This window comes from Homo sapiens, chromosome 1 (genome assembly GCF_000001405.40).
Source record: "Homo sapiens chromosome 1, GRCh38.p14 Primary Assembly".
In the NCBI taxonomy this organism is placed as follows: Eukaryota; Metazoa; Chordata; class Mammalia; order Primates; family Hominidae; genus Homo; species Homo sapiens.
The window spans coordinates 248,868,928-248,882,004 of record NC_000001.11 but is presented as its reverse complement, the minus strand read 5'-3'; the positions used below and the strand labels follow the sequence as shown (position 1 = coordinate 248,882,004).

Genomic DNA, 13,077 nt, shown 5'->3' with positions numbered 1-13,077 from the left:
TTGCCTCTGCTTCTATACTGCTCTATGCACTTTTTACTGCTCACCCAAATTATAAGACATTACAGGAATGAATTTTATTCCAAATCTTTTTAACTTATATTAAAGGAAACTAGAGGAACTAAAATTTTCTAACCTAGTTCAAATTAAAATGAAGTCCATAACACTGTCTACACCACAGCAGGTTACATGCACCAAACAGTACTCATTAAAGGAAGGACTTAAAGAAATAACAGCAAAGATTGTAGAACTCCTCAAGGAAGATATTATTACAATTGTCATTTCAAATAACTTTAATAGTTCAGTATGGCCTGTCTTAAAAACAAACAGGAGCTATAGATTAACTATTGACTATAGAAATTTAAATAAAGTCTCAACTAAAATGCCAAGAGCATTACCAGATGTAGAAGAGCTAGTTAATAAGATCATTAATCATAATGACAAATACTATACAATCATAGACATGTCAGATGTGTTCTTTGCCAAACCAATAAATAAAGCAAGCCAGGAATATACCAACTTTACATGGGAAGGTAAACAATACCAATTCAAAACATTACCACAGGGATATCTAAATAGTTCAGTAATAGTTCATTCCATTTTGTCATCACACATAGACCAATCAAAATATACATCTATAACAAGAAAAACTTGGGACCGTGATGTGCATCCCCCAAACTGGAAAGAAACCAAGAACCAAAGAATGACTTGGACAAGTCCAGCTTGAGAAGTAAATGAATGTATTTGGACTTACATACAGGGACTCCTGGATGGTGGTAGGATAGCTCTAGAGATCCACACCACCTCTCATTTCTAAACTGCTTAAGCTAATTTTCTGGCTCTTTGCCTACTGTGTTTAAGCAATGAGACTGTTTTTCTCGGAAGGTTCTCAGATACTCCACGGGATGTTTGGGCTCTCAGGGACCCCTGCTCCTAGGCTGGGCACCATGGCTTTGGCTCACTGCTCAGTCTCAGGGTTCAGGCAGCAGATGCATACCCTTAAGTAACCTGGTGGGAGACACATCATGCTACAAGTCACTAATAATATTATACAGAGATAACATCATAATGCTAAATAATGACTAGGGAACAAATTAAACAGGAAAAAATCCCAATTAATAACACATTTAAGATTATTGGGATAGACTATTAATATAGATAAAAACACAAGCCCAGACACCAACTGCAAATTTTTAGGAGTCCGATGGTCATCAGAAGGGAGAAAAATCTCAACCACAGTAATAGATAAAATAAAAGCCCTTAAGCTGACAAAAACAAACAGGAGGAACAAAGACTAACAGTTTTATCTGGATATTGGAGACAGCATACACCTTACTTAAACATCATCTTGGAACCAATATATCTAGAAAATCCCAAGACTTCACATATGGACAAGAACTTGAAACACTCAAAGACTACATTAGCACATTTCAATCACTGCATTACCCATCTTCAGATTCACAACTTGGGTTGAAAGTTCTGATGAGTGATGAATATAGAACATGATCATTATGGACATAGAAACTAGATTCTAAATCTTTCCTACTGGTTGGATTTCAGATAACAAAATTCCCATACTCGAACAACAAATACAGCCCATTCAAAAATACATACGGCTTACACATGAAGCCCTAACCACTAAGCATCTGACTGGCAACAACAACATTACAAAAAATGTCATATGCCTTTTCTTCACTGGATAAAATTGAGTCCTGGAAAACTGACAGGTATCCAAATTGGTCCAAAACTGCTCACATGGAATGGATACATCCAGGGTGGAGACAACAGCTTTGAGGGTCAATCAGGTCTTCTCATGGAGCAGATTCACAAGACAAAAATAGACTTGCCAGAATGTATTCTGAAGACAAGAAAAATCTGTGACAATATAGGAAAATGGGTCCTGGTCTCGTTTAATGTCTTGCCAAACACCTGGTTTATGGAAGGATCAGCTTCCATGACCCAAAGGCCAGACCCATTGAACAGCAGAAGCACTCAGACTCCAGGACCATATAATCCTGAAGGAGTCAAATGAATTGCTCTCTCCACAGCATGCAGAACTGATTGCAGTTGTTAGAGCATTTGGACACTCAGTATCAGAAAATCAAAAGAATATATATATGTGTATATATTTACAAATTCATGAGCAGTCACAACAACATAGCCCCATAATCACACAAATGGAAACAAAATAATTTTAAAATTAATGACAATGACATATGGTCCGAATCTTACTGAGAGGAACTATATAAATCATCAAACAGAATTAAGATATTTATGACACATATCAGCATACCAAAAAGATAACTTAGGCAGGGCACAGTGGCTCATGCCTGTAATCTCAACACTTTAGGAGGCTGAAGTGAGAAGATTGCTTAAGCACAGGAGTTGGAGACCAGCCTGGGCAACATAGCAAGACCCCTGTCTCTACAAAAGATAAGAAAAAAAATTAGCCATACGTAGTGGCACACGCCTGTAGTCCTAGCTACTTGGAAGGCTGAGGCAGGAGAATAGTTTGAGCCCGGAAGGTTGAGGCTGCGGTGAGCTGAGATCACGCCACTACACTCAAGGCTGAGTGACAGAGAAGGATCCTATCTCAAAAAACAAAAAATAAAAAGATCATTCAAAGGCCACCAATTTAATAGATAATTAGATGAATTAACAGGGAACATAACAATTGACACACAAAATGTACCCAAATTAAAGCTACACAGAAATCCGCACAACTCATGAAGACATTCATCGCCACCTCTACAACTCAGAAGAAAATCAGACTATGAATGGGAGATACCCCAAGTACCCCCAGTAGCCATAATAAAACAGCAAGATGAATTTAAAATTAAACAGGCGCTGTGAGCAGCTTACGCTCTACAAACATTCTTATAATTACATAAGCAGAAAGGACATTTAGGCACACACTCACTGTTCAGGTGGCTGTTAAGACAAATCAAAAGGTAACGACATCAAATTTAAAAGGCATATAGCTAATTGTGAGCAATGTAAAACTAACCTGGAGAAATATGGATACACTAAAGCATAGATACACACAAACCCAACACCTTTAACTTCTGCCTACAGATAGATTTTATAGGACCATTAAATCACTCCAACCAACAAAAATATGCCATAACAACAGTGGATACATATACAGAGACTGGCATAGCAATAGCGGCGAGCCACCCATTTGCCAAATACACCATCTTAGCCATAGAAAATTGGGCAGTGTACTATGGAGCTTCTAAAATAATTGAAAGTAACCAGGAAACTAATTTTACATCAAAGACTACAGAAGCATTAGCAGATAAATGGGTTATACAATGGAATTTCTGCATACCTTATAATCCCAGTGCAGCAGAATATAAGGAGAGATTAAATGGACTACCGAAAAGAGAACTTAAAACCTTAGACAAAACGAGCACATTCCAACAAGCTCTTAACCTGGGGTGTTTTAATTTAAATAAGAGAGAAAGTCTTTATAAGAGCAACCCCCACTCTTACCTTAATCAACTGCCTTTATGGTCATAAAGGATGTGGAAGCAGGTGCGGTGGCTCACGCCTGTTATCCCAGCACTTTGGGAGGCCGAGGCGGGCGGATCACGAGGTCAGGAATTCGAGACCAGCCTGGCCAACATAGTGAAACCCCATCTCTACAAAAAATACAAAAACTAGCTGGGCGTGGTGGCGGGCCCCGTAGTCCCAGCTACTCGGGAGGCTGAGGCAGGAGACTCGCTTGAACTCGGGAGGCGGAGCTTGCAGTGAGCCGAGATTGCGCCCCTGCACTCCAGCCTGGGCGACAGAGCGAGACTCCGTCTCAAAAAAAAAAAAAAAGATATGGAAAACAATGATACAAATAGTGTAACTCAAAGGTGAGCACTAAACTAAATGACAACATGATCTCCCAACAGAACATCGTGGCCAATGGACACAGAAATACTTACTGGACTAGAGAAAAAAAGAGGAAAGTTACAATTACCCCAATCTCCAGCCTTTCTCCAAATTCTCACTAGACCTAGGTTTGTTACCACACTTTCTGCAATATTGGTGCTACACTGTTTCTTTTAGTCATTGCATTAATATTCTCCATAAAATTAATGGAAAGTGTACTTCAATCCAATTTTACTTGCCACTAACCCCATATTTTTAACCTCAACATCACTTCTAGCCATCAGCAGAATAATTAAATACTTTATTCACTTGAGACAACATGGCTACAAATTTGTGTAGTTTCTCAACTGGTCTTATCACCTTTCTCATTCACCTTCTATTAGCCATCATAGTAACACACCCTTTCTCAAGATAATGACTGCATCCAAGGATTATTTAAATTCCAGAGAGAACTATTTCCAAGTTAATTTCTGTTATCTGATCCAATCATTCTCCCTAGTAATCATTTATTGCCCCTTAAATAGAATTCTTCTTCTCCCCCTCCCATAACCTGTTTTACCAGGATCCAAGCCCCCATTATTTCTGTAACCTCAAGATGGCCTATAAGCTTCTGTACGGCATTGGGAGGCTGGGTCTTTATTCTGAATGCACCTGTGTATACATATTAAATAAATTTGTGTGCATGCTTGTAGTCCCAGCCGCTGGTGAGGCTGAAGTGTGAGGATCACTTGAGCCTCAGAGGTCAAGGCTGCAGTGAGCCACGGCAAGCTTGGCTACAATATATACAAACCACATTTAGGCAAAGAGTTTCTAGAAAACATAGACAGATATGTCATCATAACTGGAAACTTCACTCTATGATGGCGTGTAACAGAAACTAAAACAGGCTCATTTTGGACACAACCATGAAAACCACACCAATTCCTAATCATCACAGCAGCTACAACAACATACAAAATTCCTACTAAATTTATTGTTTGCTGGGGTCAACATCTTCCAGGAACTCATGGTGGTCCTGGACACCGCTGGATACAAATATTGTTTTAATGAATTACAACAAAACTTTTGTTTGTACATGTGAATATTACATGTGATTTTTGGGGACAATTAATATTCACATGTACTCACAGACTACAGACCTATAATCTGCTACAATCTAACTCACCCCAGTATTTGGACCATTTACAATCACATACAAAATGACAGAGATTATTAGCACATTATTTACATAAAGAGAACCAAAAAACATGACTATATTAGAAAACTTTACTAGAAAACCCAAATATGAACAAAATCAAGTTGTTTTTCCAATGTGCCCAGTGGAAATTCAGAATGATCCAAACTTTTATTTCAGAGATGTAGAGACACCATACAATTTAAATCAATTGACTGGTGGGAAACACTAGGAACTAAAATAAATACGGATAAAGTCACAAAAACAGACCCAGGTATGTCAAATTAGTTTTTCTCCATGACCCAACCATCCAGTGGGTCATGGAATAAGGTTACATGGTCAGCTCAACTGCCTATTTACCAAAATATAACAAGACTAGTTTCCACTTACCTATATTTATAGCTAGAGACATCTCTTTTACAAAATGCAAGGTTAAACACTGGGACCCTGGACCTTGCATAATTGACAGGACGCTGGAATAAGATACGTTGCTTAAGAACACAACACTGGAAACCACAGTGGACCAAAAGAATAGCAAACCCTCCACCTAAAGTATTGAGAACCTGTTCTAATTAACCTATGAAGATTCGTTTACAAATCAACACCTAGGACAGTCAAAATGTTTTTGATAAAAGAACAGTTTAGGCCAGGCTCGGTGGCTCACGCCTGTAATCCTAGCACTTTGGGAGGCCAAGGCAGGCAGATCACCTGAGGTTGGGAGTTCGAGAACAGCCTGGCCAATGTGGAGAAACCCTGTCTCTACTAAAAATACAAAATTAGCCAGGCATGGTGGTGCATGCCTGTAATCCCAGCTACTCGGGAGGCTGAGGCAGGAGAATCGCTTGAACCAGGGAGGCGGAGGTTGCGGTGAGCCAAGATCACACCATTGCACTCCAGCCTGGGCAACAAGAGTAAAACTCCGTCTCAAAGAAAAAGGAAAAAAAAAAAAAAAGAACAGTTTAAAGTCACACATATTCAAGCAGAATGTGTACAGTTCTAGGAACAAGGATGTGACAAACAGCCCATTTTACCAAACTTACCACCACTAGATAAATATTATTTAAGAAAATTTCTATAAATATTTGTAGCAATTTGAATTATTTCAAACTAGTCATTTCAGCAGTACAAGAAGCAGAAATTCAGGAAGTTAAAACAGGCCTATTTGTTTTAAACATTGTGGAAAACACAAACGTGCATGGACCTGGTTCCGTCTGATCGTGTAGAGTGTATGATAACACAGCCTTGGCCTGGAGATCTGAAAAAGATACCCAGAGAGAAATAAAACTTTGGAAAACCATAACAAATTAGGTGCATAGGCTCATAATATTACAAAATGTTAAGAAGATAGAACTTAAATGTGGTTTAGGAGTTTTTAATTATTAAAATATTTTTCACAGGCTTCCCAAATTTAAAAAATGGGCAATAAAAAACTTAGAATAAAAACTAAAAGCAGCTGTAAAAGACATTTTAAGGCCAATTGGGGAAAATTCGAATGTAGACTAGCATATGACAGCATGTTAATGTCAATTTTCTTAGGTGTGACATGGAGTAATGGCATATCTGTGACTTTCAAGTTGGGGGGACAGTTTTACAGATCTCAACTTTCTTTCTTTTTTTCTTTTCTTTTTTTTTTTTTTTTTTTTGTTTTGTTTTTTTGAGACGGAGTCTCGCTCTGTCGCCCAGGCTGGAGTGCAGTGGTGCGATCTCGGCTCACTGCAACCTCCGCCTCCCAGGTTCACGCCATTCTCCTGCCTCAGCCTCCTGAGTAGCTGGGACTACAGGCACCTGCCACCACGCTCAGCTAATTTTTGTATTTTTAGTAGAGACGGGGTTTCACCCTGTCAGCCGGGATGGTCTCGATCTCCTGACCTCGTGATCCGCCCACCTCAGCCTCCCAAAGTGCTGGGATTACAGGCGTCAGCCACCGCGCCAGGCCATACAGATCTCAACTTTCAAGTGGAATAGGGAAGGTATACCTATCTCTATCTATTTGTCTATCTATCTATCTATCTATCTATCTATCTATCTATCTATCTATCTATCTATCTCTATCTACCTATCTATCTACCTTGGAAGAGAGAGAGAGAGAGAGAATGTGACAAAATATTAACCAGTGTTGATTGCAGGTAAAGAGAAACCAGGGTTGGTTGTGGCATTATTTCAATTATCTCTACTTATTTAAAAAATGAAAAGATAGATGCTGGGGTGAGGGAGAAGTACCTGATCTCTTTCCATAGCGACAATTACTCAAGCGTCGTTAAGGAGCTAGGACCGGCCCTGACCCGCCCCTCTAGGCAACAGGTGCCATTCTAATGGCCTTTGGACACCTAGGGAGACTTTTTGAAATCTGTGACATAATTTTAAGACCAGCCATTTTTGGCATACCCAGAGCTATCTTTTTGGATCATTTTGTGCTGCTGGCATTTTTTCTCCGTTCTTAAGATATCATGAGTAAAGACACTGACTACATATACGGCGCGCATAAACTGCAGTAGAGTCCATTTCAGGTAACTACTCTGCAAAATGAGGACACCAGGTGCGTTTTGCCCTTTGTTTAGAAGTCAAGTCATAGCTGACTCTGGGAACATCACCTATGGTTAGCCCTGCGGCAACAGTTTTTAAAACGGCTTACTTTCCTGACCGGGAATCGAACCCGGGCCGCGGCGGTGAGAGCGCCGAATCCTAACCACTAGACCACCAGGGAAGACATGATGCGTCATTTAGCAATATGCTATACTAAATAAATATCCTGTGACGTATCTCCTATAGAAACATGATTGGATGCGGTTTTCTCGCAACATTTGGGAATATGCAGACTGCTTCCCTCCCCTTGGTAGGTAGCCCCCTTGCTGCGGCAGACAGGGAAAACCGGGCAGCAAAGATGAGTAGTCTAGTTGTAACCTTCTTCCTGGAGAAGACAATAAAATACCAACGGACTCCGGGAAAATTCTGGGGTTTCTTCCGGGGAATAAAATGCTAATAAAACGAATGTGTCAGAAGTGGGATTCGAACCCACGCCTCCATCCGGAGACCAGAAAGCCCGCAGGCAAGGTGCTTACCTTGAGTCTGGCGCCTTAGACCACTCGGCCATCCTGACACTCGGAAGCAGAGCGCTTCTCACTTAGCCTCATACTTGTGTCCGCTGGTGCCAGCCTGCCGCGTCACACCCGAGTTGCGGCCGTGGGAACCCTACTGACTGGTCGCGACGTTTCAGCGCTTCCCGTTCCCGGCGGAGCTCTGGAGAAAGCCGCGACTGCAATGCAGCCAGGAGTGGCCGATAGCGCTCTCCCAGGCCGGGAATCGAAGCTAACGACCAGGGGTTAGTGACCGTGTGCCAGCGCCTGGCCCCGCAAACGCAGGACAATGCCTGAGAAAGGCAAAGCTCGAGCTACCGCCTCACCTTCCGGCCCAAGCTGGGGAAACTCTGGCAAGCAGTTACTACTCGGAAAGTAGTTGGAAAAACGCTTGCCACTAAGTGACGAATGGATGCTTTTGTTTTTCTTCATTATCATCATTATTATAGCGGCTTTCTGCTTTATTGTGCCTGCGCGTACCCTCCCCTCAAGGTCCACCGCGCTTCCTCCACGAAACCACACAGATACGGTTGGCGATAACGGCCGGATCGGGAGGTCCTAGGTCAGAGGGGCCTGATGCGGGCCTCGCCTGAGGTGAGGGAAGTCAGGCTGCGTTTACACAGCAGTTAACGAGTGCCTTAGCGTCCAATGGGAAGGCCCGGGACTCGCAGTGCAGAGCAGCTCTGGCAGTGTCCTCCCGGTGGGCTGTGAGGTTACCTGTGAGCCCAGATACCACTCGTCCAGGCATTCATTCGTTGAATCTTAACATCGAGTGTCCACTGGGAACACAACGGTAAATAGACAAAGCCCCAACTTGGTGAGCTGATTTGCTAGTGAAGGAGATGACCAGCACAATCACATGTACAGAGTGTGAGGAAAAACCAAAAGCAATGAAGTGGTGGAGAAGTTCTATTTTTAGACTGTGCAGTTAAGTAAGGCCTCACTAAAGTGACTTTTGCTAAAATATTTTTCAAAAACTAAAATATATGTCATGCAGCCGGGCGCGGTGGCTCATGCCTGTAATCCCGCCACCACGTTGGGAGGTGGGCGGATCACCTGAGGTCGGGAGTTCGAGACCAGCCTGACCAACATGGAGAAACCCCGTCTCTACTAAAAATACAAAATTAGCCGGGCATGGTGGCACATGCCTGTAATCCCAGCTACTCGGGAGCCTGAGGCAGGAGAATCGCTTGAACCTGGGAGGCGGAGGTTGTGGTGAGCCGAGATCGCGCCGTTGCACTCCAGCCTGGGCAACAAGAGTGAAACTCTGTCTCAAAACAATAAAATAAAATAAAATAAAATAAGAATGTCATACAAATATAAAATCCACGTGTCAAGATTTTATTCAATTAACTAATGATGAAAGATAATAACTTTAAAGAGAAAATTATTCTGATACTTGTTCAAACAGCAAGGGAGAATTTTATTCAAACTATTACAATAGGGGTGAGAGACTGGGCGCAACTCCAAATCAACAAAGACAACTAGAAATTTAAAGCCAAGGAGCAGAGTGTGGGGGGTGGGGGGGATCAGTGGATGGAAAATTACTAAGAAAATGGGCCAAGTGGGGCAGCTCAGGCCTGTAATCCCAGTGCTTTGGGAGGCCTAGTCAGGAGGATCGCTTCTGCCCAGGAGTTTGAGGCTTCAGTGAGCTATGATGAAGCTCGCCTTTCAAAGAAAGAAAATTACTAATAGGAGACATTAAGGGTAAGGGAGAAGGAAAGAAGGAAGGAAGGGAGGCAGGAAAAATTACTAATAGGAGTAGGGGTTACATACTAAACAGGCCTTAAAAGATTCTACTTACTGGAGGCCAAAGACTTGGACACCAAAGGTGAGAAATTCAAAGGTGAGGAATGAGTAACTTGATCAATATCAAGGCTGGGGGAATTCACACTAAACTGACTTAGCAGGACTGTTTGCTAAGACTAGGCTTTACAGGCCAAAGACAGGATAGGGGCCAAGGTAGAGGCCTAATCAAAAACAGGAATCAGAGGCGCCTGACTGAAGTTTGGTCAAGGAAGGTCTTTGTCAATGACCTATACAATGTTACCAATGTTACAACTAATTAAAAGGAGAATTTCGAGAGACTTTTAAAATAATAATTCAGCCAAATGAAGGCTGAAAAGAGGTTGCTAACAGATTAAAGTTGGGTTAATATCCTGAGTAATAAACTGTGATAATGGAAGTTGGGATTTCTACTCCGGGGTTATCTTTTCTTTGCCGGAGATAAATCGGTTGTGTCTCTTGACAAATTTTACTTATATTGCTATCCTTGGTCTTGCTCTCAGACAGAAACCATTTTCATTACTATTAGTTTTCTAAAAGTTAACCTTGGCCGGGCGCTGTGGCTCACGCCTGTAATCCCAGCACTTTGGGAGGCCGAGGCGGCCAGATCACGAGGTCAGGAGATGGAGACCATCCTGGCTAACACGGTGAAACCCCGTCTCTACTGAAAATACAAAAAAATTAGCCGGGCATGGTGGCGGGCACTTGTAGTCCCAGCTACTCAGGAGGCTGAGCCAGGAGAATGGCGTGAACCCGGGAGGCAGAGTTTGCAGTGAGACAAGACCACACCACTGCACTCCAGCCTGGGTGACAGAGCGAGACTCTGTCTCAAAAAAAAAAAAAAAAAAAAAAAAGTTAACCTCTACCTCCCTACCAAGCTGCAAAATAGCCAAGTCAATAAAAATTAATAAAGGTGCACATGCCAATGGAAACAGATAATCCCACAAAGGTCTGCTAGACAATGCCAAGTTCCATGGGAAGGACACCTAGTAATCTCTTTTGTCTATTTCCAGGTTTTTAATATTTTTTCCTTTTTAAAATATTTTATCTTTAATTGACAAATAATAATTATATATCTTTATGGAGTACCATGTGATGTTTCAATTCATGTACACATTGTGAAATGATCAAATAAGGCTAATTAACATATCCATCACCTCCCATGCTTTTATGATTTCTTTGTGGTCAGAACATTTAAAATCCACTCCTGCAGGAATTTTGAAATATGCATTATTATTAACCACAGTCACCATTCTGTGCAGTAGGTCACAAGAAATCATTCCTCCTGTTGAACTAAAACTATGTACCTTTTAACCAACATTCCACCCTCTTTCCTCATTCCACCCCCCTCTCCCAGCCTCTGATAACCACCATTCTACTCCTTTTTTCTATGAGTTCGATTTTTTTAGATTCAAAACATAAGGGATAACATGAAGTATTTGTCTTCCTATGCCTGGCATATTTCAGGTAGCAGAAGGCTGTCTAGATTCACCCATGTTGTCACAAATAACATAATTTTATTAACCATTCATCCTTGATGGGTATTATGGTTGTTTCCATATCTTACCCATTGTGAGTAATGCTGCAATAAACGTGAGAGTGCAGGCATCTCTTGAACATAATGATTTCAATTACTTTGGATATATACCCAGTAGTGCGAGTGCTGGATCATATGGTAATTTTGTTTAAGTTTTATGAGGAGCTTCCATACTGTTGTCTATAATAGCTGTACTAATTTACATTCCCACCAACAATGTGCAAGATTTCCCTTTTCTCCTCATCCTCACCAATGATAGTTATCTTTCATCTTTTTGATAATAGCCATTCTAACAGATGGAAGGTAATATCTTTTTTTTTTTTTAGGAAACAGAGGTTCGTTCTTGTCACCCAGGCTGGAGTGCAGTGGCGCAATCTAGGCTCACTGCAACCTCCACCTCCTGGGTTCAAGCGATTCTCCTGCCTCTGCCTCCCGAGTACCTGGGATTATGGGAACGCACCACCACGCCCAGCATAATTTTTGTTTTTAGTAGAGACAGGGTTTCACCATGTTGGACAGGCTTGTCTCGAATTCCTCAGGTGATCCACCTGCCTCGGCCTCCCAAAGTGCTGGGATTATGGGCGTGAGCCACAGGGCCCGGCCAGAAGGTAATATCTCATTGTGGTTGTAAGTTGCATTTCCCTGATGATTCGTGATATTAAGCACGTTTGCATATATCTGTTGGCCATTTGTATGTCTTCCCTAGAGAAATGTCTATTCAGATTCTTTGCCTATTATTTAAGTGGGTTATTTGCTTTCTTATCATTGAGTAGTTTCTTTTTGATTCTGTACAAATTTTGGGATTGTTTTTTCTTCCTCAAAGGTATTTAAGTATTGTCTTTTCTATTTTGTGAAAACTGTCATTGGAATTTTTATAGGGATTGCATTGAATCTGTAGATTGCTCTGGTAGCATGGACATTTTAATAATATTGATACCTCCAATCCATTAAAATGAAATATCTTTCCATTTAGTGATTTCTTCTTCAATTTCTTTCATTAATGTTTTATAGTTTTTAGTGTAGAGCTCATTGGTTAAATTTATTCTTAAGTATTTTATCTTTTTTTAGCTACTGTAAATGAGATTGTTTTCTTGATTTGTTTTCCGGATAGTTTACTATTACTGTGTAGAAATGCTACTGATTGTGTATATTGATCCTCCAACTTTACTGAATTAATTTATTAGTTCTAACAGACTTTTTTAGTGTAGTCCTTAGGGTTTTCTACATATAAGATAATGCATTCTTCTGCTGTTGGATGGAATGTCCTGTGTACACGTGTTAGGTCCATTTGGTCTAGAGTTTAGTCTATGTCTGATGTTTCCTTATTGATTTTCTGTCTGGATTATCTGTCCATTGCTGAAAGTGGGGTGTTTAAGTCCCCTACTCTTATTATATTGCAACCTATGTCTCCTTTTACCTGTATTAATATTGCTTTATATATTTAGGTATCCCAATGTTGGGTGAATATATATTTACAATTGTTGTATCTTTTTGCTGAATTGATCCCTTTATTTTTATGTAGTGACCTTATTTATCTCTTTTTACAATTTTTGACTTAAGGTTTTAAAGTTTATTTTATCTAAGTATACCTGCTCCTGTTCTCCTTTGGTTTCCATTTGCTTGGAGTA

General features: G+C 40.9%; 1 protein-coding gene and 2 non-coding genes across 3 annotated transcripts in view, besides 6 other annotated features; all 3 read right to left on the bottom strand.

Annotated features, from left to right (window-relative positions):
* PGBD2 (piggyBac transposable element derived 2) overlaps nt 1-9,154 on the bottom strand; it is a 57,341-nt gene extending 48,187 nt beyond the window's left edge. Inside the window, exon 1 of the mRNA XM_011544161.4 lies at nt 8,113-9,154. The gene's annotated coding sequence lies outside the window, so the exon portion shown is untranslated. The remainder of the gene's footprint in view (nt 1-8,112) is intronic.
* Nucleotides 7,660-7,809: a silencer, noted in NCBI's record as "silent region_2053". NCBI's record gives its function as "represses an Ori minimal core promoter by ATAC-STARR-seq in GM12878 lymphoblastoid cells {active_cell/tissue: GM12878}" and the evidence as "EXISTENCE:reporter gene assay evidence [ECO:0000049][PMID:35858748]".
* Nucleotides 7,686-7,757, bottom strand: TRE-CTC2-1 (tRNA-Glu (anticodon CTC) 2-1). The gene has a single exon. It is a non-coding gene; the product is annotated as a tRNA-Glu (tRNA).
* TRL-CAA4-1 (tRNA-Leu (anticodon CAA) 4-1) lies at nt 8,045-8,150 on the bottom strand. The gene is made up of 2 exons: nt 8,113-8,150; nt 8,045-8,090 (listed from the first exon to the last, which is right to left on the bottom strand). It is a non-coding gene; the product is annotated as a tRNA-Leu (tRNA).
* Nucleotides 8,080-8,129: a silencer, noted in NCBI's record as "silent region_2052". NCBI's record gives its function as "represses an Ori minimal core promoter by ATAC-STARR-seq in GM12878 lymphoblastoid cells {active_cell/tissue: GM12878}" and the evidence as "EXISTENCE:reporter gene assay evidence [ECO:0000049][PMID:35858748]".
* Nucleotides 8,080-8,925: a biological region, named in NCBI's record as "H3K27ac-H3K4me1 hESC enhancer GRCh37_chr1:249167279-249168120".
* Nucleotides 8,084-8,925: an enhancer, noted in NCBI's record as "H3K27ac-H3K4me1 hESC enhancer chr1:249167279-249168120 (GRCh37/hg19 assembly coordinates)". NCBI's record gives its function as "activates a minimal SCP1, AML or CMV promoter by ChIP-STARR-seq in primed H9 embryonic stem cells {active_cell/tissue: H9 hESC(primed)}" and the evidence as "EXISTENCE:reporter gene assay evidence [ECO:0000049][PMID:30033119]".
* Nucleotides 8,380-8,489: an enhancer, noted in NCBI's record as "active region_2888". NCBI's record gives its function as "activates an Ori minimal core promoter by ATAC-STARR-seq in GM12878 lymphoblastoid cells {active_cell/tissue: GM12878}" and the evidence as "EXISTENCE:reporter gene assay evidence [ECO:0000049][PMID:35858748]".
* Nucleotides 8,926-9,767: an enhancer, noted in NCBI's record as "H3K27ac-H3K4me1 hESC enhancer chr1:249166437-249167278 (GRCh37/hg19 assembly coordinates)". NCBI's record gives its function as "activates a minimal SCP1, AML or CMV promoter by ChIP-STARR-seq in primed H9 embryonic stem cells {active_cell/tissue: H9 hESC(primed)}" and the evidence as "EXISTENCE:reporter gene assay evidence [ECO:0000049][PMID:30033119]".